Source organism: Homo sapiens, chromosome 14 (genome assembly GCF_000001405.40).
Source record: "Homo sapiens chromosome 14, GRCh38.p14 Primary Assembly".
NCBI classification, from domain to species: domain Eukaryota; kingdom Metazoa; phylum Chordata; class Mammalia; order Primates; family Hominidae; genus Homo; species Homo sapiens.
The window spans coordinates 67,225,353-67,250,633 of NC_000014.9; the positions used below are offsets into that span (position 1 = coordinate 67,225,353).

Consider the following 25,281-nt stretch of genomic DNA (forward strand, 5'->3'; position numbering starts at 1 on the left):
AACATTAAATCTTATTCTACTGTAGTAACAATATAAGTGGAATGAAATGTTAGGGGTTTGTTGTGGTTTCTGCTCTAGAATCCATCATGGGTCAAAAGATAACATCAGCACAGGGAGGAGGAGAGAGGGCTTCAGGTGAGGCACTGGAAGAGAATTATGTGCTGCACTACCATAGCGATTCTTCTCATTTCTGTACTTCTTTGTAACCTTATCATGCTCTTTCCCAACCTGCTTTTTAGATCAGCCAATACAATCAAGACCTCTTTTTTTTCATAGCAAAATGATACAGATATTCGTAGAGTGCCTGCAGGGCTGTCATGTACAGTTATGTAGCTTGTACACACCATACACACTGTAGTTTATGTGCAATTCATAATCTGCACAGCTGTATAGGGTGGCCCTGGCCTACTGTATTCTAAGTTTGTTCGAAACACCAGCTCTGCAGTGCGTTGCTGAAAAATGAAACTTCTCTCAGCCATGATAACAACACCCAGTAGCACAGAAAGAGTGGAAGCAATGCAATTTTAGGGCCATTGTGTCTTCTGTTGCCTCCTTCATAAAGCTAATGCTGTGAGTGTGTGTGTGTGTGTGTGTGTGTGTGTGTGTGTGTGCGCGCGCGCGCGTGCGCATGCGCGTGCATGCTCATAAGGGCTGAGTTCACAGTATTGAAGGGGGGAGGTTGGTGGACCACGGGTGGCCTGGGCAGTAACCCCTTGCCCATCTTGGCAGGGCCTTGCTGATGGAATCAAGGTGCTCACTCTTCTGTCCACCCTTCTGTCACTCTGCCACCAAAGCCAGCTTAGCACTTGAGCATTTTGTTTATTTACTTGTTTATTTATTTTTATTTTTATTTTTTTGAGACTGAATCTTGCTCTGTCGCCCAGGCTGGAGTGCAGTGGCGCAATCTTGGCTCACTGCAACCTCTGCCTCCTGGGTTCAAGTGGTTCTCATGCCTCAGCCTCCTGGGTAGCTGGGATTACAGACAAGCACCACCACAACCAGCTAGTTTTTTTTGTTTTGTTTTTTTGAGACGGAGTCTCGCTCTGTCACCAGGCTGGAGTGCAGTGGCACAATCTTGGCTCACTGCAACCTCTGCCTCCTGGGTTCAAGAGATTCTCCTGCTTCAGCCTCCCAAGTAGCTGGGACTACAGGTGCACACCATCACACCTGGCTAATTTTTGTATTTTTAGTAGAGACGGGGTTTCACCATGTTGGCCAGGCTGGTCTCAAACTCCTGACCTCAAGTGATCCGCCCGCCTCAGCCTCCCAAAGTGCTGGGATTACAGGCGTGAGCCACTGTGCCTGGCTGAGCATTTTGTTTATTAACAGGGCCCCCCAAGATGCACACTGTAGGTGAAAGGTAATGGACCAGAGGAGAACAATGTGGCTGAAAAACAACAAATGTCCACACTCCATAATTCCCTGGCCTCCACATACATTTCCTGATCTGTACCTGTTCCTTTGTGACTTCTTTCCCCCTTAAGAATGCTCCTAATATTCCCCTTAACTTGTTGTATGGTGTGGAGACAGCGATGGGTGGCATACAGGGTGACACGTGCTGGCTCCTACATCCACCTAGACAGAGTCTGAAGCTCTGCCATCTTTCAATATAATATAGAATTTAAAGAGAGAAATTTCTTTCAAGATAACTCAATATTTTACAATGATTTCAATCCCTTGATGGATATATTCAGCAACAAAATTTCAAATATTAGGGTCTCATTAACAGAGAGCTGCAAATGCAAAGAATGACAAAAAATTATACCATACTTAAATTTTGACTTATTAAATTGAAAAATTTGCTCCCAGCTGGGCGTGGTGGCTCACGCCTGTAATCCCAGCACTTTGGGAGGCTGAGGTGGGTGGATCACGAGGTCAGGAGTTCGAGACCAGCCTGGCCAATATGGTGAAACCCCATCTCTACTATAAATACAAAAATTAGCCGGGCATGGTGGCGCATGACTGTAGTCCCAGCTACTCAGGAGGCTGAGGCAGGAGAATTGCTTGAACCCGGGAGGCGGAGGTTGCACTGAGCCGAGATCGCACCACTGTACTGTAGCCGGGGCAACAGAGTAAGATGCTGTCTCAAAAAAAAAAAAAAAAGAAAAAAAAGAAAAATTTGCTCCCAAATCCTTATATTTTGAATTGCTGATATATGGGAAAAGGTAGATTTTTTTTAATGGTAGAAAAAGTTAGTTACTAATACAGACTTCATATTATTACAAATAATGTGAAAGACTTCATCTTATTACAACTGAAGTAATGTGAAAGTTATTTGGACTCTTATTTACTATAGCATATTATGATGTTTGTAGGTCTTATGACCAAATCTTAGGACTCAGTACAGCACAGATTAAGAACTTGCAAATAATTCAATAGCAGGTATAGAATTTTAATTTTATTTTTTGTTTATTTTTGCTAGAAATTTAAAAGAGTAAAAGCCCATAATCTTAATCTTAACATCCTGAATGGACAGGTTTTTCCTTGGGTAGAAACAGCTTTTAAAAACAACAATTTTAAGAAATTAAGTTTCTTGGCCGGGTGCGGTGGCTCACGCCTATAATCCCAGCACTTTTGGAGGCCAAGGCGGGTGGATCACCTGAGGTCAGGAGTTTGGGACCAGCCTGGCCAACATGGTGAAACCTCATCTCTACTAAAAAGACAAAAATCACCTGGATGTGGTGGTGGGCACCTGTAATCCTAGCTACTCAGGAGGCTGAGGCATGAAAATTGCTTGAACCCAGGAGGCAGGGGTTGCAGTGAGCCGAGATTGTGCCACTGCACTCCAGCCTGGGTGACAGAGTGAGACTTTGTCTCAAAAAAAAAAAAAAAAGAAATTAAGTTTAATAATGTTTTAATGGCTGGATTAAAAAAAAGAGATGTTATTCATCCAAAGGATCTTTATTTTTTATATCAAGAAGAAAAGTTGTAGTATAAATATAATTTTGTTTGTTTCAATCATTTATTTTACCTGTATTTAGTTCATCTTGTCTTATAGTTAACAGTAATAACACTAAAAATATTCTCTATTTCAGACATTTGAATTAAATGAACTGACTTCTCCACCTTTTTTTAAAATCAGATACAAACTACTAAACTAAAAAGCAAACACAGCTCAGGGAAAGACAATCAGTGCAAGAGGAAAACCAAGCAGTGTCTTCTACGTGGCAGAAATAAAGCCTATGACTAATCATTACGAATTCAAATCCATGTCAACCTAATTTCATAAATCTTAACTATTTTAATTGTGGGTATCTATTTTAAAGGAAGCTAGAGGATTATGCAAAACGGTAAGATTTTCAATTCATAAACTCAGTTTTTATGGATGGGGTTTCTTTTCTTTGGGATTGATGGAAAAATTTGTTATTCTCTTGGTTTCACTTTTCTCATTTGTATATTAGTCCAACACTGTTTTGTTTCTAACATTGGAGAATGTGAGGTCATTCAAGGTAGGGACTGTGTTCATTTCATCTTTTGTTCTAGCTGAGTACCTGGTGCTGAGAGACAGTATTTATTGAATCAGTGTGTCATTTTCAAACAGGTTAAAAAAAATCCATGTACTTTTAAAAATAAAAAAGAAACTACAGACAGTCCCCATCCAGAGAATGGTTTGACTTTTTAAAAGCCATCACTTATTTTCTAAATGCTGCCAGTCATGCTACAGCATGTTTTTTATCCATTATCTCACTTAATCTTCACAGTAATATGAGGGACACTACTATTTTCCCCTGTTTTACAGGTGGTGAAAGTGAAGCTTAGAGGTTAAAGTTACTTGTCCAAGTCACACAGCTAGAAAATGGTGGAGATGATCTTTGAACCCAAGAAGCCCAACAGCCAAGCTAAACGCAAATTTGCGATTCACATTAGAACTCATGCTTTTAAATTCAGAATAAGGGTAGTTAGGTTTTTTTAAAGCAATGGAAATCTATTTAACTCAAATTTCACACAAATAGTACTGGTTTTTCTACTGTGAACTGAGAATATCTCTTATCTCCATCTTTCCCTTCCTGGCCCACAAGCAACCCTCTAGAACTGTGCAGTCCCATATGATGGCCAGTAGGCATATATGGCTATTGAGCACCTGCAATGTAGCTAGTGTGACTGAGAAGCTGAATTTTAGATTATTTTTAATAAATGTAAATTCTAATTTTAAAACTAGAACAGTGTAGAATATTTTTCCATTAAACACAACTTTATTGTTTTGGTAGGGCTACATTTTTCACTTCAACTGTTGAAAATCTAGTGTCCAAATTGAGATATACCATAAGTGTAAAATATACGCCAGATTTGGAAGTCTTTGAGAAAAAAAGAATGTAAAATATTTAATGTGTATTATATTGATTATATGTTTAAATGATAATATTTGAATATATTGGTTAAATAAAAATATTTAAGGATTAATTTAATCTTTCTTTTTACTCTTTTGATGTGCCTGTTAAGCAATGTGTCACAAATTACACACAAAAAAATGTGGCTCATGATAGATTTCCATCAGACAGCACTGCTCTAGAGAAAAACCATCTACCTAGTCTCTTGGCCCACAGCCTAGGGAATTCCTCCTCCTCCTCTCCCTGCTGTTCCAAAGACAGAAGAAGTTTGTTTCCAACCTTCACAATCAGGAGTGAAAACAGAGATTCCATGAAACCAAGAGGAGACTAACGTTTTTAAGTTAGGTATATACGTAAACCAACAGTTTCTAATTTGGAGATGGCTATAGCATCATAGAAACTGTTTTCTTCATACAGATTATCTGTAACTTTTACTTTTGTTCACTTGGGGGGAAAAAGATTAATAAATTGATTCTTACAGGTAGAAAGCTATAACTATGAGTTATAACTTTCTATTTGTATCTAGCAACACAATCCTTCAAAAGGCAGCATACACTGTAGTTGGTGTACAACCACCCTGGAAAAGAGTTTGGAAAATTAAGTTAAGACATATGATCAGCTGGATGTGGTCTCTCATGCCTATAATCCCAGCACTTTGGGCGGCTGAGGCAGGAGGATTGCTTGGGCCCAGTAGTTTGAGATCAGCCTGGGTAACAAAGTGATACCCTGTCTCCACAAAAAATAAGCTGGGTATGATGGCCCATATCTATAGTCCCAGCTATTCAGGAGACTGAGGATGGAAGATTGCTTGAGCTCAGGAGGTCGAGGCTGCAGTGACCCATGATCATGCCACTGTACTGCAGCCTGGGTGACAGAGCAAGACCCTCTCTCAAGAAAAAAAAAGATATATGATCAAATTTCAAAAAAACTAAAAACATGTTCACAAGACATATATTCAAAATAAGACTCGTACACAAAGAGTCATAGTTTTGTTCATAATAGCAAAAAACTAGAAACACCAAAATGCCCATCAACAGGTGAATGACTAAACAAATTGTCGTATGGTCATACAGTGATACTACTTAGCAACAAAAAGAAACTTAACTATGGAATACAAAAGTCCTCCCTTATCCACAGTTGTGCTTTCCACAGTTTCAGTTACCTGTGGTCAAAAAATATTAAATAGTTCCAGAAATAAATAATTCATAGGTTTTAAATTGCATGCGATTCTAAGTAGCATGATGAAATCTCACACCATCCCACCTGGAACAGGAATCATCCCCTTGCAGCTATCCAGGCTGTATATGTTACCTGCCCCTTAGTCAGTAGCCTTCTCGATGATCAGATTGAAAAACACAGTGTATACAGGGTTCCGTACCATCCAAGGTTTCAGGCATCACGAGGGATCTTGGAAGATATCCCCTGAAGATGAGGGGTGGGTGGACTACTGTAAATGCAACAACACATGGGTGAACCTTAGAAACAGGTTGGTTACATGCTATATAATTCCTTTTATATGAAGATTTAGGAGACAAAACTAATTTATAAAGACAAATCAGATTAGTGGTTGCCTGGGGTTGTGGGTAGCCAGGAGGATATTGACTGCAAAGTAGTTTGAGGAAACTTTTTAAGGTGATGAAAATGTTCTTATTTTTTTTTGAGACAGGATCTTGTTCTGAAGTGCAGTGGCACTGTAACCTCATACTCCTGGGCTCAAGTGATCTTCCCACCTCAGCCTCTGAAGTAGCTTGAACTACAGGCATATGCCACCATATGCAGCTAATTTTTAAATTTTTCTGTAGAGACAGGGTCTTGCTATGTTGCCCAGACTGGTCTCAACCCTGTGGCCTTTAGTGATTTTCTCGCCTCAGCCTGAGCCACTGGGTCCAGCCTGACGTAAATATTCTATCTCCTGATTGCGGTGGTGGTTACATTAGTGTGTATATTTATCCAACTAAATACTTTAAAATAGGTGCCTTTTTTGCATATAAATTATACCTCAATAGGCCAAGCTCAGTGGCTCACGCCTGTAATCCCAGCACTTTGGGAGGCCGAGGTGGGCGGAGCACTTGAGGTCGGAGTTAGAGACCAGCCTGGCCAACATGGTGAAATCCTGTCTCTATTAAAAACACAAAAAAATTAACTGGGCATGGTGGTGGGTGCCTGTAATCCTAGCTACTAGGGAGGCTGAGGTAGGAGAATTGCTTGAACCTGGGAGGCAGAGGTTGCAGTGAGCTGAGATCATGCCACTGTACTCCAGCCTGGGTGACAGGGTGAGACTGTGTCTTTAAAAAAAAAAAAAAAAATTAACATGATAATTTGTGTCTATAGTACTTATCACACATTAGATTATCTGGTGGTTTTAAAAATATGTCTACAAATGCTTTATTCTCCTCCCTTCAAGGGATGGAGCCTATTGCTTCCTTTGGGTACAGATTGGACTTAGCGCCTTGCTTCTAGACAATAAGATGGCAGTGGTGGTGTGTGGTTTTGGAGACTAGGTCATAAAACAGCCCATAGTTTCTGTCTTTGTTGCTCCCTCTCTTAAGTCATTTGCCCTGGTGGAAGCCAGCTGTCACATCCTTAGATCATTTGCCTTGGGGGAAACCAGCTGTTCCTTACGACAAGAAACAGAGGCCAAGTCTTATGACAAGGAACAAGGCCAAATGACAAGGACAGAGACCTCTAGCTAACAGGTATGTGAGTGAGACTCCTGGAGGCAGATCCTTTAGTCCCAGTCATGCCTTCAGGTGACTGCAGTCCAGAGCTGACATCCTGCTTTTAACCTCAGAGCCACCCAGTTAAGCTGCTTCTGGCTTCCTGACCTGCAGCAAGGGAGAAATTACATTTGCATGTAATTTTGTATCACAAAATCTCATTTATCTCTACTTCTACTATTAAAAGAGCTTGTCCTTCTGTGTATATTTTAGATAAGAACTTATGAAATGTTGACTAAACTGCTGAACACCCTTTGAAATCGCTCCATTTTCTTCATTAAAGTGAATTCTCACATTTTACCAAGATCCTAGGTATATTCATAGCCTATATTCAGTCTAAACTTAAAAGGAAAAAAAATCAGTGCATTTTTATGCGTGTTGCCAAACTGTTCTCAGCTCTCCAGTGCCCTGAGCTGAGATAACAAGGCTTGGGAGACTTGTGTGCTGTTCTGCCTTCCTGCATTTGCTTGAAGTGTTACCCAGAGGCCATGAGGCCTGAAAGCTTTTAGTCTAAATATTTAGTCAGGTCCTAGCACCAGCTACAGATTTACACAGCTACAAATTTAAAACCATTTATATTTCCAAATATGGTTTTAAAAGTTCTTCTAAAATTATTCTGGAAAATAGAAAAAAAAGAAAACAGTATCTATTTTCTCCAAGAGCCCTAAAAGGGATCCACTGTGCTGTTCCCATGTCTCCATTCCACCAACACATTTTTATTTTATTTTATTTTATTTTATTTTATTTTATTTTATTTTTTTGGAGACATAGTCTCACTCTGTCACTCAGGCTGGAGTGCAGTGGTGCAATCTCAGCTCACTGCAACATCTGCCTCCCAGGTCCAAGTGATTCTCCTGCCTCAGCCTCCCAAGTAGCTGGGACTATAGGCATGTGCCACCACGCCCGGCTAAATTTTGTATTTTTTGTAGAGACAGGGTTTTACCATGTTGCCCAGGCTGGTCATGAACTCATGAGTTCAGGCAATCTGCCCACCTTGGCTTCCCAACACACTTTTAAAAACCTGGTGGAATACCAATACCTATTCCAATTCTGCCATAGTCTATCACATGAGAAGGTAGGGCTTTTCCGTGAGAAAGAAATTTGCAAAGCCTCAGATAATCTGCTTCTACTGACAGGTTTTACAAGTTTCTAGTTAGCACTACCTCCTATATCTGATCTGTAATTTCCATCTGAAACTCCCTTCCTCTGGCTGACTTCCCCCAGTCTGTCTCATGACAGGTGGGAAGAAACCTAGTGCAACAATCCAGGCAAAAGATGATGATGGCCTGGAGGAGGGTGGTAGCAGTGGGGATGGGGAGAAGTGGTTAGATTCTGGATATATTTTGAAGGTAGATAAACAGGATTTCCTGATGGGTTGAACGTGCCATGTGAAAGAACACCTGGATAACTGGAAACTGTGTCAGAATCAATAGTTCTGCCATGTAAAATTTGCAATACTCATTAGAAATCTAAATGAAGATTCCGGCTGATAGTTGAATACAGGATTCTGGAATTCAGGGCAGAAGTTCAGACTAAAGATAAATTTGGAGTAAACAGTATATAGATGAAATTTGAAGCCATGAGATCAGATGAAAGGGAGTGAGTGATAAAGAACATCATGATAAAAATAAAGACAAACAGTTAATACATACTATGTCCAGCACTGTTCTAAGCACTGTCATATATAAATTCAGTTTGTCTTCACAAGCACTGTAGGAGGTAGCTACTTTTATTATACTCATTTTATAAATAAGGAAGCTGAATTTCAGAGAAATTAACTGACTTTCTTCTAATCAGACAGCTAGCAATTGACAGAGCTGGGATTCAAACCCAGGCAAAGAGAGAAGTAAAATATTCAATTTTAGAGCTTTGGGACACTCCAAATATTAGCATACAAAGAGATAAATAAGAGCCAGCAAAGGGTTCTAAGGAGGAGGTTCCAGTGAGTTGGGAAGGGAAGTAAGAATGGTGTTTCAGAAGCCCAGAGAAGAAAATGGAGAAAATTATCAGCTTCATCAGATACTGCAGACAGGTCACATAGGATGACTGAAAACTGACTTTTGCATTTAACGAAGTGGCTGAAATCAGTGACTTTACATGTCAAGTTGAGTGAGTTCAAGAGAGAATAGGAGAAGAGACATTAGAGTTCCACTCTTTGCTTGTTTGTTTTGAAATAGAGTCTCACTCTGTCCCCCAGGCTGGAGTGCCGTGGTGCGATCTTGGCTCACTGCAACTTCCTCCCACTGGGTTCAAGCGATTCTCCTGCCTCACCCTCCCTAGTAGCTGGGATTATAGGCTTGCACTACCAAGCCTAGCTAATTTTTGTATTTTTTGTAGAGATGGGGTTTTGCCATGTTGGCCAGGCTGGTCTCGAACTCCTGACCTCAGGTGATCCACCCGCCTCAGCCTCCCAAAGTGCTATGCTAACAGGCGGGAACCACTGCGCCCGGCCTACAGTTCCACACTTTAAAGTTCAGGCCGGGTGCGGTGGCTCATGCCTGTAATCCCAGCACTTTAGGAGGCTGAGATGGGTGGATCACCTGAGGTCAGGAGCTGGAGACCAGCCTGGCCAACATGGCAAAACCCTGCCTCTACTAAAAGTACAAAAATTTGCTGAGCATGGTGGCACACACCTGTAATCCCAGCTACTAGGGAGGCTGAGGCAGGAGAATCTCTGGAACCCAGCAGGGAGAGGTTGCAGTGAGCTGAGATCACGCCACTGCATGCCAGCCTGGGTGACAAGAGCAAAACTCCGTCTCAAAAAAAAAAAAGTTCAGGCCAGATACCATCCAGACCCAGTCAGTCACAGGTATTCACATGTAAATATTAATTAAAGTAGCACTGAAATTTTTCACACAAAACAAAAGTGTGATTGGGAGCTTGGTGAGGAAAAGATATAGGTAATTTTATAGCCCTTTTCAAGCAGAACAAACTTCGTCTCCTCTTTCTTAACATTTGGGCTTGATCTTTCCTTCATTATAAATTTTTCCAAGCCCTAAATTACCTACATCCTCTCTCGGAAATAAAATTTCTCAGGGCCAGGCGCGGTGGCTCACGCTTGTAATCCCAGCACTTTGGGAGGCCGAGGCGGGCGGATCACGAGGTCAGGAAATCGAGACCATCCTGGCTAACACGGTGAAACCCTGTCTCTACTAAAAATACAAAAAATTAACCAGGCTTGGTGGCAGGCACCTGTAGTCCCAGCTACTCAGGAGGCTGAGGCAGCAGAATGGCGTGAACCCACGAGGCAGAGCTCGCAGTGAGTCGAGATCGCGCCACTGCACTGCAGCCTGGGTGACAGAGTGAGACTCCATCTCAAAAAAAAAAAAATTCTCATAGACCCTATTTTATTTCTTGACACATCTCCAGACTGGCATAGGACCACTCAGATGGGTACAAATAAAAGAATGATAAATGATTGACATTCTAAATATTGAATATCCTACCCTGAGGCTTTTGTTGACTCTTGTTTCCATATTAAGCTCATGCTTCTTTTCTCTGTTTATATCACTCAGTCATTCACATTTAGAAAAAGTTTTATGTGTGTCTTTTTAAAATTTTTAAATTAAATTGATAAAAATTAGATATATTTATGACATACAACATAGTATTCTGAAATATGTTTACATTGTGGAATGGCTAAATCAAGCTAATTAACATTACCTCGCATACCATTTGTTTTGTGGTGAGAACATTTAAAATCTAGTCTCTTAAGTATACTAAAGTATACTATACATTGTTATTAACTATATACTCACCATGTTGTACAAATAGAGCTCTTGAACTTATTCCTCCTAACTGAAATTTTGTATCCTTTGACCAACATCTCCCCACTCCTCCCTCCAACTCATGTCTATTTTTTTAAAGCCATGTATAAGATCCTGATTTTCCTATTATTGTGAGTACTTTCAGAGCAGTTTATTCACTGTTCCCACCCGCACCTTCACTAGATAGTAAAGCTCCTCCTGGTATAAGACCTTTTCTTTCTTTGAGTCTAGCACACTTATGTTCATTCACCATGCTTTTCCTTGTATTTTATTTGTCTTATCGTGTCCTTTTTCCTACCTTTCCTGTTCCTCTAGGATAAGGACTGTCACACAGATTTCAGTGCCTATAGCACAATGCTTAGCCCATTAAATGAGTGAATAGTTGTTAAAGCCAATTAGGTTGAATAATACTAACCTGTACTGAATTACACTGGTGCAGATAGTGGGACCTTCCATTCCATATGACAACTGTATAATGTTCTTAGCTCAGGGATATACTATATTTAGCTAGATTTATGAAAGTTTAAATCCTCCTATAAAACATCTAAATAAGAATAACCCAATTAAATTAGAAAAGTTCATTGTTTGTTGGTTTGCTTTTTGTTATTTTATTATTTTATTTTATTTTATTTTAGATATTTGGCCAGACACGGTGGCTCATGCCTGTAATCCCAGCACTTTGGGAGGCCGAGGTGGGCAAATCATTTTAGGTCAGGGGTTCGAGAACAGCCTGGCCAACATGGTGAAACCCTGTCTCTACTAAAAATTCAAAAAAAATTAGCCGGGCATGGTGGCAGGTGCCTGTAATCCCAGCTACTGGGAGGCTGAGGCAGGAAAACCGCTTGAACCCGGGAGGCGGAGGTTGCAGTGAGCCAAGATCACACCACTGTACTCCAGCCTGGGTGACTGAGCAAGACTCCATCTCAAAAAACGAAAATATATTATATATATATATTTATTTACTAGAACTACTATTCGTAGGTAATTTTTGTTTCATAATTTCTCTTTTATCTGAGTTACTGAGTATTCTGCTTTTATTATACATTATCTCTGATCATCTGGTTCATACAATTATGTGATTAGGCTACTAATTCACTTATGAAAATTCTAAGTACTAATTCACTGAGGTACTAGTGAAAGCCAAGTTATGAAAACCATACTAGTGAAGACCTGGTTTTCACTAGTACAAAGAGGACATATAATAGCCTTAGTTAAGGCTACATAATTTGATATATAATAGGGAATAATAAATCTTGAAAACAAAAATTTCAGAACTTTTTACAAGTGGCTGAAATGCAACATGAATATGTTTCCTCCAAAACTTTTTTTTTTTAATTTTTAGAGAAGGGGGTCTTGCTGTGTTGCCCAGGTTGGACTTGAATTCCTAGGCTCAAACAATCCTCCCATCTTAGCCCCCTGATTAGATGACAGGCACATGCCACCATGACTGGCTTCCCAAAACTTTTAATGAAATAAAATAGTGTGGTATTTTATTACATAAACATTTAATAAGGGATATTGACAGACAATGGGCTAAGCAGATGACAAGATGAGGAAGAAGGGAGGGTATTTACTATGGTGACTGTCCACCTTACTCCTGGTTTTACAGTTAGGCTTTCACTACTCATCCATAATATTTAGTTACAAATTTGTTAGAGTGACTCAGCAGGTGAACTGCTTTCTGACGAGGATGAACAGCCCTTCTGACAGGGGGGTTTAAACCACAGATTGTCCATTTCATTCTATTTTGGGGGGAATATTATATTCTCTTAACCTCCTATGCTATCCATGTTAGACTCTATATGCAGAGGCTACCAAATCCTAAAACTAGGGGGAAAAAAGTAGTTAACCCCTTTACATTATAGATGAGAAAATTTAGGTCCAGGAAGCTTGTCACACATCTAAATCACAGAACTAGCTAGCAGCAAAGCTAAAACTTAATCTAATTACCATGCCTCCAGTTTCTATACCTTTCACTCTTTCAGCTACCCTTCAGTTTTTGCATATATACCAGTAATTTGTATGACTTGGAGATTCTGGGATTGGCTCAATTCACCAGAAAATAGATTTCTTTTTTCTTTTCTTTCTTTCTCTTTCTTGCTTTCTTTTTTTTTTTTTTTTTTAGACACGGTCTTGCTCTGTTGCTCAGGCTAGAGTGCAGTGACACAATCACAGCTCACTGCAGCCTAGATCTCCTGGGCTCAAGGGATCCTCCCATCTCAGCTTCCCAAGTAGCCAGGACTACAGGAGCGTGCCACCACACCCAGCTAATTGTTAAATTTTTTTGTAGAGACGGGGTCTCCCCATGTTGACCAGGCTGGTTTTGAATTCTTGGGCTCAAGCAATCCTCCCGCTTTGGCATCCCAAAGTGTTGGGATCACAGGTGTGAGTTACTGCACCTGACCCACTAGAGAGTAGATTTGTTATTTGCTGTAGGATCTGCCCTCTTTTAACATGAAAATATCTTTAGGAGGTAAAATAATAACTTTTTTTTTTTGAGACAGGGTCTCACTCTATTGCCCAGGCTGGAGTGCAGTGGTGTGATCTCAGCTTACTGCAGCATCGACCTCCCAGGCTTAGATGATCCTCCTGCCTCAGCCTCCCAAGTAGCTGGGATTATAAGCACACACCATCATGCCCAGCTAATTTTGTATTTTTTGTAGAGATGGGTTTTTGCCATGTTGCCAAGGCTGGTTTTGAACTCCTGGGGTCAAGGGATCCATACACCTTGGCATCCCAAAGTGCTGGGATTACAGGTGTAAGCCACCATGCCAGGCCATAACTAATATTTTTATAGCACTTCTTTTCCTGAAAAAAATGCCCTTCTGAATTGTTATAGCACTTTAAAAAGGAATTTCACATATTTTGAGATAAGCAGCTGGTCTGCTATCTCACACTCATACTAATAATTATTTTATTATGGTGGGGTCCTGTATGGGAATCTAAGCAGCTGAGGAAGCAAGGCTAGGTACTTGGCGGGTTCATTTGGGTGGAGGCTTTTTTTGTGTGTGTGTTTTGTTGTTTTGTAAAACTGCCTGGGGCCAAGAGATTGGAAGTTACGGATAAAGATATACTATCTTTCCAAAGAGGTCCTTTCTTTGAACAGCTAGATCTGCAGTCCTTACCTGAAGATGATTTTGCTCATTCCTCCCCATGACCTTTGGTGATGTCTGGAGACATTTTTGATTGTCACATTGGGGAGGGTGATGCTACTGGCACGTAGTGGGTAGAGGCTGGGGATGCTTCTAAACATCCTATGATGCACAGGACAGTCCCCACAAGAATTATCCAGCCCAAATGTCAATAGTGCCAAGGATGAGAAATTATAAGCTAGAGAAAGAAGAATTCATTGACGAGCTGGAGGAAGCTTCTTGAATTATTATTTATGTTATATATTTAAGAACTTAGAGGCGGGGCACGGTTGCTCACGCCTGTAATCCTAGCACTTTGGAAGGCTGAGAAAGGTGGATCACCTGAGGTCAGGTGTTCAAGACCAGCTTGGCCAATGTGGCGAAACCCCGTCTCTACTAACAATACAAAAATTAGCCGGGCGTGGTGGCTGGCACCTGTAATCCCAGATACTGGGGAGGCTGAGGGAGGAGTATCGCTTGAACCCGGGGAGCGGAGGTTGCAGTGAGCCGAGATTGCGCCACTTTACTCCAGCCTGGGCAAAAGAGCGAAACTCCGTCTCAAACAAAAACAAAAACAAAAGAACTTAGAAAAGGAAGTAAGTCACACACAGTAACCGTTTTTTCTTTTGGGGTATGGCTAGTAGTTTCTAGGAATCCTGGAGACTTTATCTGGATTTCAGTTAGGCATTTCACCAGTTCTCATGGCATCTTTATGGAGGAATATGGGCCAAGAAGACAGTTCGGTTGTGTCGTCCACCTGTATTCGAAGCCTACTGAGAAATTTTTGATGGCAGGAGCATTAAGGTCTTTAGTGGCATGCAGCAGAGTTCTGTCCTCCGCTCTGTCTTATTAAACACTTGGACAGAATGCTGATCAGATTTGAGAAGGATAACAAATCTGGGAAGGGTAGGCATCCCCAAAGATCTTCACCACCAGGAACAACGGTTTGCTTCGTTCAGGCCATCACAGTGTCCTTAGTGAGGGACACCACAACCCATAGGCTGTCCAGAGGAGCGTAATGGGGAAGAATGTGAAAGAGCTTGAAAATCAGGACCTGAGGACATTGCGAGATGGAAAAACACCGTGGGACAAAATGAGGAAAACCGAGAGAAATGGAAATGGCATATACGAAGGCTTTGAGGGAGGACTGTGCCCCTGGGGGAAACTGTGCCCCCGGGCTGGAGTCACAGGCATAGTTTGGCCTCATAGAAGGAGAGGTCGATTAACAAACCTTGCAAGTGTTCAAATGTGGAATGGGCTTGCTCGGAAGGTACTGTCAAGACAGAGACCATCCGAGGGCTTTTATTGCAAGTGTCGAGACACATTGCTGGTGTTTCTCCTTAGAACGTCCTCCAATCTGCTCTGACTTCCGCCCGCACCCGCCTGAGTCCTGCCCCATTCCAAGGGTGGCACATCCAGGTCCCGAGGGCGCCAGCCATGCCCGGAGCACGGGCTGATCTGCGTAACTCTGTCCCTTCGGGAGACTTCTGGGAAATAGTTCTAGTCCTTGCTATCCTTGCTTTCTGGTTTTCAGAAATCAGTGCAGCTGCTGGCTTTATGCAGTCTTCTGCGGGACACTGCACACATCCAGGTGTTTATGTCATTTTTTAAAAAAAACAAATGTTAGATTGGGTGACTAACTTGACAGGACATGAGGAATCTCTTCAAGAGGAATCAGATTTTCTTCAGGATACGTCATCCAGAGACAAGAGCCAAGGGATGTAGAAACCCAGGGAAGCCTCGCGTCCCCACAAAGCCCGCCGGCCAAATCCCGAAGGGGCTCTACCGGGCCAGCTAGCCCGGAGCAGTCCGCGTTTTAGACTTAGAGGCGCGCGACTGCGCGCACCCGGCTGGAGCTGCGGAGAGGACCAATGAGCGGGCGCTCTCTCCGCTCCGGCTCGGGATTGGGCAAGCCGCGCCAGCCTCTCACGGGCGGGGTGGGACTCGGATCCGCGCGCCCACTGCGCCAGAGTCCCGGGGGCGCGTGCGCGGTCTCGCGGCGGCCGCAGGGGCCGGTCTCGCGCGGTCTAGAAGTGGAGTTGCTGGCGGCTGCGGCGGTGACGGCGGCGACGGAGGAGGCAGGCGGTGGGGCGGGGGCGGGGACTAAGGATTCTGAGGTGGGGAGTCGGGAGTTTCTGGATTCTTTATCCGGAATTTCAAGGGCCGCCGGAGGGCTGTCGCTTCTGCAGTGCGTAGGAGCGGCCGGGGCGGGAGGCTCCGCGGAGCCGAGGCGTGGAGGTAAGAGGCGGATCGGCGGCGGCTGGGCTGTAGAGATCTTAATCAACAGGTCCCTGGGAGCGCGGCGGGGGAGGGGCGGGCGGCCGGGCTCCCCTTCCCCCACACGCTGCGCAAACTCCGGCCAGCGGGAGACCCCTGGCAGCCAGGCGGGCTTCCTCAGGCGCGCGAGCTGCGGCCGTGGAGGGTGTGAGCCCAACCTTTGTCCCTCGGAGCAACGCTGCCTGCGCGGTGCCCGCTCCTTCTGCTTGGCTGGGCATGCACCTTGGCGCGGGCCACAGCCAGCCGAGCCCGAGGTGCAGGGGGCGCGGCGGGGAGTCGTCTGCCCCCTGCGCCCTCTCTCCGAGGTCGCGACGCGCGGGACTCTCCCGGCCGGGTCTGGGAAATCGGCGAGGGAACGCTTTCCTTTAGAAGTCAGAATGTAGTCAGCGTTCCTCTGCCTGACTCAGCTGCTGGTATTCTGCTGCTCATTGCGTTCTTAAACACGCAAACAGTTCCTGCTTCCTTGTGACCACTTTAAAAGAAAAGCCTAGTTTTGTTCATGGTTTCTGATACTTTAAGGTTGCACGTTGAACTTTGAAGCATGTAAATTGTTATAACCTACGTTTAATGAAGTTTGCTTTAAACGATCTTTGTAGTAAATTATGTAACTTTCTAATGATCATAACTCACCTTCTGTTGATTGACATACAGTAATGTGTACGGAATGTAGGTTTCGGTCAAAAGGTTTTTCTTGGCAGTTTATGCTAAAATTAAAATCTGATGGCTAGGAAGTTTTTAGATGTAGTATGGAGTGTGTGTTTTGTCTCCATACTCGTTTAGAATAGTAAGAATTTAGATTTGGAAAGTCAGTTGAACAAAAATTTTGAAATTTTGATTTGACTGACGCAGTGAAAGGTGTTAATATTTCTGATTTTTTAAAAAAGCAATATCATGTTTTAATGATAGTTTACTAATTATGCTTTTGGATTATACCAGAAGTTAATAACCTGTTAAATTATGCAATAGGAACAAATGACGTGTTGGTTATTGGTGTCTTTGAAGTATTGGTGGTAATGAAACTTATTAAATAAGCTTCCTTGAATTAAGAACTACGATTTTTTTTTTTTACTAGATCCCTGTGGACATAGCTATTGTGGATAGGTTTTATAGGCTTTCTATTTGCGGCAGGATGAGCTATTAAATTATAATGTAAGAGATTTATAGATAAAACAGGCAAAAATAGGAAAAGCAATTCATTATTTTATCTTTAAAAATCTGGTAAATTTTACCATGTACCTGAATTAGTTTTGGCAAGACGGACTTGAACTTGACAAATTAAGGTGGATTGATTAACATTAATTTGTTTTAGAATGTTAAAACGGGAGAGAATATATAAGTTCTACTTGAGGGTGACCCAAGTCAGTACAGTGGGTTTAGCTTTTACATGATCTTGAATTATGATTTTGATTAAAAATCTCATCACAGGGGCACGTGTTTTCAGGATCTCCTGAGGGCTGTGTCATGGAAAAAATAAAATTTATCACCCATTCCAAGAAATTTGATCAATTTTATATATTATTTACTGAAATGCCCTATTTCTCTGATATTTTCTGATTTCAGAGTGTCTAGAAAAAAATAGTATCTTGACATATGTGCTTATATAGAATATAATTGTCTTTTCTTTTTTTTTTTGTGAGACATAGTCTCGCTCTTGCCCAGGCTGGAGTGTAGTGGCGCGATCTTGGCTCACTGCAGTCTCCACCTCCCTGGTTCAAGTGATTCTCCTGCTCTCAGCCTCCCGACTAGCTGGGACTACAGGTGCTCGCCACCACACCTGGCTAATTTTTGTATTTTTAGTAGAGACGGGGTTTCACCATGTTGGCCAGGCTGGCCTCGAACTCCTGACCTCAGGTGATCCACCCGCCTCGGCCTCCTGAAATGCTGGGATTACAGGCGTGAGCCACCGCCAGAATATAATTTTTTTTTTTTTTTTTTTTTGAGACGGAGTCTCGCGCTGTCGCCCAGGCTGGAGTGCAGTGGCGCAATCTCGGCTCACTGCAAGCTCTGCCTCCCGGGTTCACGCCATTTTTCTGCCTCAGCCTCCCGAGTAGTTGGGACTACAGGTGCCCGCCACCACGCCTGCTAATTTTTTGTATTTTTTTTTTAGTAGAGACGGGTTTTCACCGTGTTAGCCAGGATGATCTCAATCTCCTGACCTCGTGATCCGCCCGCCTCGCCCTCCCAAAGTGCTGGGATTACAGGCGTGAGCCACCGCGCCCAGCCCTTATGATTTTTGATCATATACTTACTGAATCATAGGATCGTTGAGTTGGAAGTAATCTTAGTGGTTATATAGTCTAACCTCTTCATTTTCCATGAAAAAGAAAGTGAGGCTTGCAGGAGTTAAGTAATCCGTAGTCTGACTGCTAGTTAGGGGCAGACTTGGAACTACATGAATGCTAAAATGCTGTTCTCCATATTCTAAGTCTCCATATTCTAAATTCAGTGCTCTTCTCAGGATGTCTCATTGTTAGATAAACCAATAAGTTGCCTTTTCCAAATCACTTAACTGGCAGGATTCTTTCTGTCATGGATTTTTTCCGTTTTCTTTTTTAATAACTACTAACTGCAATTCATTCCCCTACTGAAGAATTTTCAGTTTTTTAATATTTCAAACAATGTTTAATGAATATCTTTGTGTATGTCTCCTTGAGCGCATGTGTGGACGCTTTCCTAGAATGTATGTATACCTACCTATAAGTGGAATTGCTGATAATAGGTTGATATGTGTTTTCAACATTACTAGCTACAGCCAAATTACCCTTTTTAATGCTGTAATCATTTACATTCCTGCAAACAGTATGAGTGACAGTGGCTTCACATTCTTGCCCACACTGGGCATCGTAAGATTTTAAAATTTTTGCTAATCTGGTGGATGAGAAATGATATAATTGCTTCTTTTCTTTAAAAAATATTTAACTCTAATTTACATGAAATGAAGTTAACTTTTCATTGTACAATTCCAACTCAGAGAGCTGTGCAACTACCACAATCAAGGTAAAGAACAGTTCCATCACCTATCCATTCACCAGTTGAAGGACATTTGAGTTGTTTTCAGGTTTTTTGTGACTGAATAAAGTGGCTGTAAATCTTTGCAAATAGGTTTTTGTGTAAACCTAAGTTTTTGTTTCTCTTAAGTAGATGGAATATGGTAGGTATAGCCTAATTTTATCTTAAAATTAAAAAAAGACCTATCTGTGGTAGACAGAATAAAGGTCTTCAAAGATATCCTAATCCCTGGAACCTGTGAATATGTTTGCTTAAGTGGCAAAGGCTTATTTAGGTTGCTAATCAGATGACTTTAGGGAGATTATTGTGGATTATTCAGGTGGTCCCAGTGTATCACAGAATCTTTAAAAAAGGAAAGAGAGAGGCAGAAGAGTAGAGTCAGGAAAAAAAGATGTAACAATTGGTCAGAGAAGTGCAAAGTTGCTGGCTTTGAAGATGGAGGAGAGCAGGCCACAAACTAAGGAATATGAGTGGTGTCTAGAATCTTGAAGAGGCTCCAGAAAAGAAAGCAGCCCTGCCAGTAATTTTAGCCAAGGGAGACATATGCCAGATTTCTAACCTATAGGACTGTAAAATAATTTCTGTTGTTTTAAGCCACTAAATTTGTGGCAATTTGTTACATTGGCATAGGAAACTAATACATTGTCAGGCTGGGTTTGAAGTGGCTGAACCACTTTGCATTTCCACCAGCAATATATGAGAGGTCAGTTGCTTTACATTCCTGTCAGCACTTGGTATGGTCAGTCTTTAGATTTAGCCATTTTAGTAGTATCTCGTTGGGATTTTTCTTTGCATTTCCCCCATGACTGAGGATGTTGAGCATCTTTTCATGTGCTTATTTGCCATCTGTTTATCTTTGGTAAAGTGTCTGAAACTTTTGCCCATTTTTAAATTGGATTATTGTCTTATTGCTGAATTTATTATTATCTTATTATTTTTTCCTTTTTTCTTTAGGGATGGGGTCTCACTATGTTTCCCAGGCTGGTCTCAGAACTCCTGGGCTCAAGTGATTCTCCTGCCTCAGCCTCCCAAAGTGGTGGGATAACACGCATGAGCCGCTGCCCCAAAAGTTTTATATAGTCCTTTATCTTTGTCAGATAAGTGATTTACGAAGGTTTTCTTCCACTCTGGCTTGCCTTTTCATCCTCATAACTTCTATACTTCATTACTTTTGAAGTATAGAATTTTATATTTTGAGAAAGTCCAAATTATTAATTTTTAAAATTTGAATATTGTATCTAAGAACTCTTTGCTCAATCCACGGTCAGAGAGATTTTTCTCCAATTTTTTTTTCCAAGTTTTATATTGTAATTTTATTTTTAGATCTATGTTCCATTTTGAGTTTATTTTTGTATAAAATGAGAGAAGTACAAGTTGTTTCACTTATTTGTTTGTCCAGTTCCATGACCATTTGTTTAAAACATGATCTTTTTCCCATTGTATTCCTCTTGTCTCTTTGTCAAAAGCTATTTGACTGCATTTGTTTGGGTTTGTTTATGGACTCTTCAATTGATCTATTTTGTCTATCCTTTTTATTTTTTATTTTTATTTTATTGTATTTATATTTTTATTTTTTATTTAGAGACAGGGTCTCTCTCTGTCCAGGCTGGAGTGCAGTGGTGTGATCTCTGCTCACTGCAGCCTTGGCCTCCCAGGTTCAAGCAATCCTCCCAAGTAGCTGGGACCACAGGCGTGCCACCGCACTTGGCTGATTTTTAAATTTATTTGTAGAGATAAGGTCTTGGCTATGTTGCCCAGACTGTATTATTTAAAAATTTTTTGAGACAGGGTCTCACTCTGTCACCCAGGCTGGAGTACAGTGGTGTGAATATGGCTCACTGCAGCCTCAACCTCCAGGACTCAAGCCATCCTCCCACTTTCCCCAGTGGCTGGTACTATAGGTACATGCCACCATGCCAGGCCGATTTTTAAAATTTTTTGTAGAGACAAGATCTCCCTATATTGCCCAAGCTGGTCTTGAGCAGCTGAGCACAAGGGATCCTTCCACCTCAACCTCCAAAAGTGCTAGGATTACAGGTGTTAGCCACTGAGCCTGGCCTACTATAGGTTTTTTTTTTTTTTTTTTTTGAGATGGAGTCTTGCTCTCTCGCCAGGCTGGAGTGCAGTGGCACGATATCAGCTCACTGCAACTTCCCGCCTCCTGGGTTCAAGTGATTCTCCTGCCTCAGCCTCCCAAGTAGCTGGGATTATAAGCGCGCACCACCACGCCCAGCTAATTTTTGTATTTTTAGTAGAGGCGGGGTTTCACCGTGTTGGCCAGGATGGTCTTGATCTCCTGACCTCGTGATCTGCCTGCCCCGGCTTCCCAAAGTGCTGGGATTACAGGCGTGAGCCACTGCACCCAGCCTACTATAGCTTTAAAATAAGTCTTCACATTAGGTAATGTGACTCTTCCACTGTATTCTTTTTCAAAATTGTTATGACTATTTTTAGTTCCTTTGCTTTCTGTATGATATTTAGAATCATCTTGATAATTTATACATTCTGTTGGGATTTTGATTGAGATTGTGTCTAATTTAGAGATCAACCTGAAGATAATTGACATCTTAATAATTTGAGTCTTCTCATCTATGAACATGCTATTTCTTTCCATTTATGTGAGTATTGTAGTTTTCAATATGCAGATCTTGCAAATACTTTATTAAGTCTATACCTAATTATTTTAATTTTTTGGTCCTATTGTAAATGGTAATCTAAAAAAATCAGATTCCAGTTGATCACTGATGGTATATAGAAATTAATTTTTGTATATTGACTTTGTATCCTGACTTTCTGCTAAACTCCCTTATTAGCTCTAGGAGCTTTTTTATTTTAGTAATTTTTTTTGGAATTTTCTAAGTAGACAGTCGTGCTCAAAACTTTTCTTTCCTTCTAGTCTGTATGCCTTTTATTTCTTTTCCTTAACTTGCTGTATTGTCTTGGTTAGGACTTCCACTGAGATGTCGAATAGGAGAGATGAGAAGTAGCATCTTTATCTTGTTCACTTTTTTTTTTTAAGATAGGGTCTCACTCTATCCCCAGGCTAAAGTGTAGTGGCGCAGCACTGCTCACGGCAGCCTCGACTTTCTGGGCTCAGTTGATTCTCCCATCTCAGCCTCTTGAGTAGCTGGGACCTACTGCAAGTGCCACTATGCCCAGCTAATTTTTTGTATTTTTAGTAGAGACAGGGCTTCACCATGTTGCCCAGGCTGGTCTCAAATTCCTGGGCTCAAGCGATCTGCCCACCTCAGCCTCCCAAAGTGCTGGGATTACAGGCATGAGTCACAGTGCCTGGCTTCTTGCTCACTTTCTTAAAGGAAAAGTATTCAGTCTTTCACTTTTAAAAAATGATATTAGCTGTAGGTCATTTTGTGCATTCTGTTAAGGAGGTTAAGGAGGTTTTCTTCTGTTCCTAGGTTACTGAGGGTTTGTTTTTTAAATCATGAATAGATGTTGAATTTTATCATATGCCTTTTCTGCATGTATTGAGATGATTGTGTGAACTTTTTTCTTTAATCTGTTAATATGGTGAATTACACTGATTTTTCAAATGTTGAACCATATTTGCATGTTTCTGGGACTAACTCTGGGGTTATTTTAAACAAAAATCATTTTGGATTTTTAAAAACTAATATACATTAACATTTATTCTTAAAAATGAAGGAGCAATGTCACATGCCTGTAGCCCCAGCCAATTGGGAGGCTGAGGTGGGAGGGTCGCTTGAGCCCAGGAGTTTGAGTCCAGCTGAGCAACATAACAAGATCTCTTTTCTTAAAAAAAAAAGGAAACCAAATATAAGATTTTGTGAACTAAAATACTTAATGAAGTCAGTAGAGTCAAGGTATTCATTAACAGTTACCTACCTACATTTTACATTTTAGTAGGACTTAAATTTTCTTGATTATGATATAACATTATAAAAATTAAAACATTTGGCTTTCTGTCTCATATAATTTTATAGTTTCTTCTTCAGTTAATAGTCTCAAACACCCTCAAAGACGTTGAAATTTTGAGGCCTCCAGGGTTCTTGGCATTTTGCTTCTTTAAGGCAGGGGTCAACAACTTTCGGTAAGTATTTTAGCTTCGTGGGCCATATTGTCTCTGTTGCAAGTACTCAGTTCTGTTGTTAGAGTGGCAGAGGTAGCCAAACAAATGAGCATGACTTTTCCAATAAAACTTTACTTATAAAAATAAGGTGTGCCTGATTTGACCTCTGGACTTAGTTTACATACCAACATTTTTATTTTATTTTTTTGAGATAGAGATGGGGTCTCACTGTGTTGCTCAGGCTGGTCTCGAACTCCATGACCCAAGTGATCCTCCCAAGTTGGCCTCCTAAAGTGCTGGGATTACAGGCATGAGCCACCACGCCTGGCCTACATACCAATTTTTTTTTTTGAGACCAAGTCTCACTCTGTCCCCCAGGCTGGAGTGCAATGGCATGATCTCAGCTCACTGCAACCTCTGCCTCCCGGGTTCAAGTTATTTTCCCTCCTCAGCCTCCCGAGTAGCTGGGATTACAGGCACCCGCCATCATGCCTGGCTAATTTTTGTATTTTTGTGGAGATGGGGCTTCACCATATTGGCCAGGCTGGTCTTGAACTCCTGACCTCAGGTGATTTGCACGTCTCGGCCTCCCAAAGTGCTGGGATTACAGGCGTGGGCCACCATGCTTGGCCTCATACCAATGTTTTAAGGCAAAAAATCAGCAGGAGAAATGACAGTAATTGTAGTAATGTAGTAAAAGGAAGCTTGGGGTATTTATTTCATGCTGTAATTCTAGGCCAAGCCTCACTTTTCTCACCTATGACATGTAGCCACCTTGAAAGATGATTGAAAAATTCAAGCTGAGATATGGAAAGCACCTAGCAAAATATCTGACACATAGCAGATACTTAATAAATATTCACTTATTCACTTTTTGTTTCAAGACTGCACAGTGCTTTGTCACAAACCAACAGATGTGAAATAATTAAGGAGAGTCAGGTTTTTACAGTTTGTAGTATATCTAATAAGTTCAAATATTAGAAATTTTAATTATGTGTCTATAGTTATCTTTTGAGTTATGCTTTTTTGATATAAATCATAATTGGCTTCACAATTTGAGAAACTTCACACAAAAAGTTGAGGATTTTGTGTGAAAACATTATATTTTGAGAGTTTTACATTGTCACAGAAAAGGTTTGAGAATGTAACTTAAAATACATTATTTTGTTTTGATGTAAGAAGTAGGCAATCTGTATTTTGCTTGTGTGTTTTAGAAGTGCCTTTAAGACTGCATTCGTTTAACGTGATTGCTTCCTATGAATGTAGTGAGCTAGGTGCTCTGCTAGGACTTGGTTGTACTTAGAGTATCCATATTTAGATACTCATTTTTGTGTTATGTTTGAAATGTAAGTAACGCTTCGGAAAGTCTTTTTTTCTGAGTTTCTATCAAGATAAAGCTGTTCTATTTTGTTTTTTATGAAGCTGGTTGAGATTCACTAGAGCGATTTTATGGCACACAAATGGGTCACATCCTACAACTTGAAAACCATTGATGTAGATAGACGAAAGTAACCCTTCTCCAAGAGGCTGTGTTCATAATTTCATTTAAAATTCAGCCACCCACTCTTCCTTCCTCCAGGAACGTTCCATACCCTCCTACTGGCAATAAGTTTTAGTTCTTAAAATTTTAGTAAAGTATGCATTAACAATTTATTCTTTTTTGTAACTCATCTGTAAATTATCGAGAGCTGTGACTACTGTTTGATGTTCATTTATGCTCAGAAGTACTAGACACTCAAATATTTACTGACCAAAAAAATCTGGAAGAAAATAAGTTATGTGTTAAACAGTGGTTCTTCTGTCTTAGTATTGGAAATCACATTGCCTCACATTGAAAACTGTATAAACTCCAGTTTATGTGTACTGGACATGCAGATTTAACTGTCTAATATTAAACAAAAAATTCTAGTTAAACAGATTGTTTTGTGATTCTGATAGTCATCTGGGCCCTTCCTCTGAAACACACACACTGTTCATACAATATGCAGGGATTCATGGAAATAA

General features: G+C 41.1%; 3 protein-coding genes and 1 long non-coding RNA gene across 21 annotated transcripts in view, besides 2 other annotated features; 3 read left to right on the forward strand and 1 right to left on the reverse strand.

Annotated features, from left to right (window-relative positions):
• The window catches only part of GARIN2 (golgi associated RAB2 interactor family member 2), a 39,119-nt gene extending 35,913 nt beyond the window's left edge, over positions 1-3,206 (forward strand). For 5 of the 6 annotated variants that reach the window (XM_047431033.1, NM_173526.4, XM_047431034.1 and 2 more), the window contains one exon: positions 3,036-3,206. The gene's annotated coding sequence lies outside the window, so the exon portion shown is untranslated. The remainder of the gene's footprint in view (positions 1-3,035) is intronic. The other variant, XM_011536500.2, reaches the window with a different exon arrangement.
• The window catches only part of GPHN (gephyrin), a 1,227,209-nt gene that overhangs the window by 717,206 nt on the left and 484,722 nt on the right, over positions 1-25,281 (forward strand). The gene's annotated exons all lie outside the window — the stretch shown is intronic.
• LOC124903330 (uncharacterized) lies at positions 2,886-16,057 on the reverse strand. The gene is made up of 2 exons (XR_007064217.1): positions 13,938-16,057; positions 2,886-5,775 (listed from the first exon to the last, which is right to left on the reverse strand). It is a non-coding gene; the product is annotated as an uncharacterized LOC124903330 (long non-coding RNA).
• Positions 15,435-15,714: an enhancer, noted in NCBI's record as "active region_8576". NCBI's record gives its function as "activates an Ori minimal core promoter by ATAC-STARR-seq in GM12878 lymphoblastoid cells {active_cell/tissue: GM12878}" and the evidence as "EXISTENCE:reporter gene assay evidence [ECO:0000049][PMID:35858748]".
• Positions 15,695-16,664: a silencer, noted in NCBI's record as "silent region_5855". NCBI's record gives its function as "represses an Ori minimal core promoter by ATAC-STARR-seq in GM12878 lymphoblastoid cells {active_cell/tissue: GM12878}" and the evidence as "EXISTENCE:reporter gene assay evidence [ECO:0000049][PMID:35858748]".
• PALS1 (protein associated with LIN7 1, MAGUK p55 family member) overlaps positions 16,083-25,281 on the forward strand; it is a 94,627-nt gene continuing 85,428 nt past the window's right edge. For 6 of the 13 annotated variants that reach the window (XM_047431692.1, XM_011537086.3, XM_024449691.2 and 3 more), the window contains exon 1: positions 16,083-16,181. The gene's annotated coding sequence lies outside the window, so the exon portion shown is untranslated. Of the gene's footprint in view, positions 16,231-16,321; positions 16,634-25,281 lie in introns of those variants that run through there. The other 7 variants (XM_047431693.1, XM_047431690.1, XM_047431695.1 and 4 more) reach the window with 3 other exon arrangements.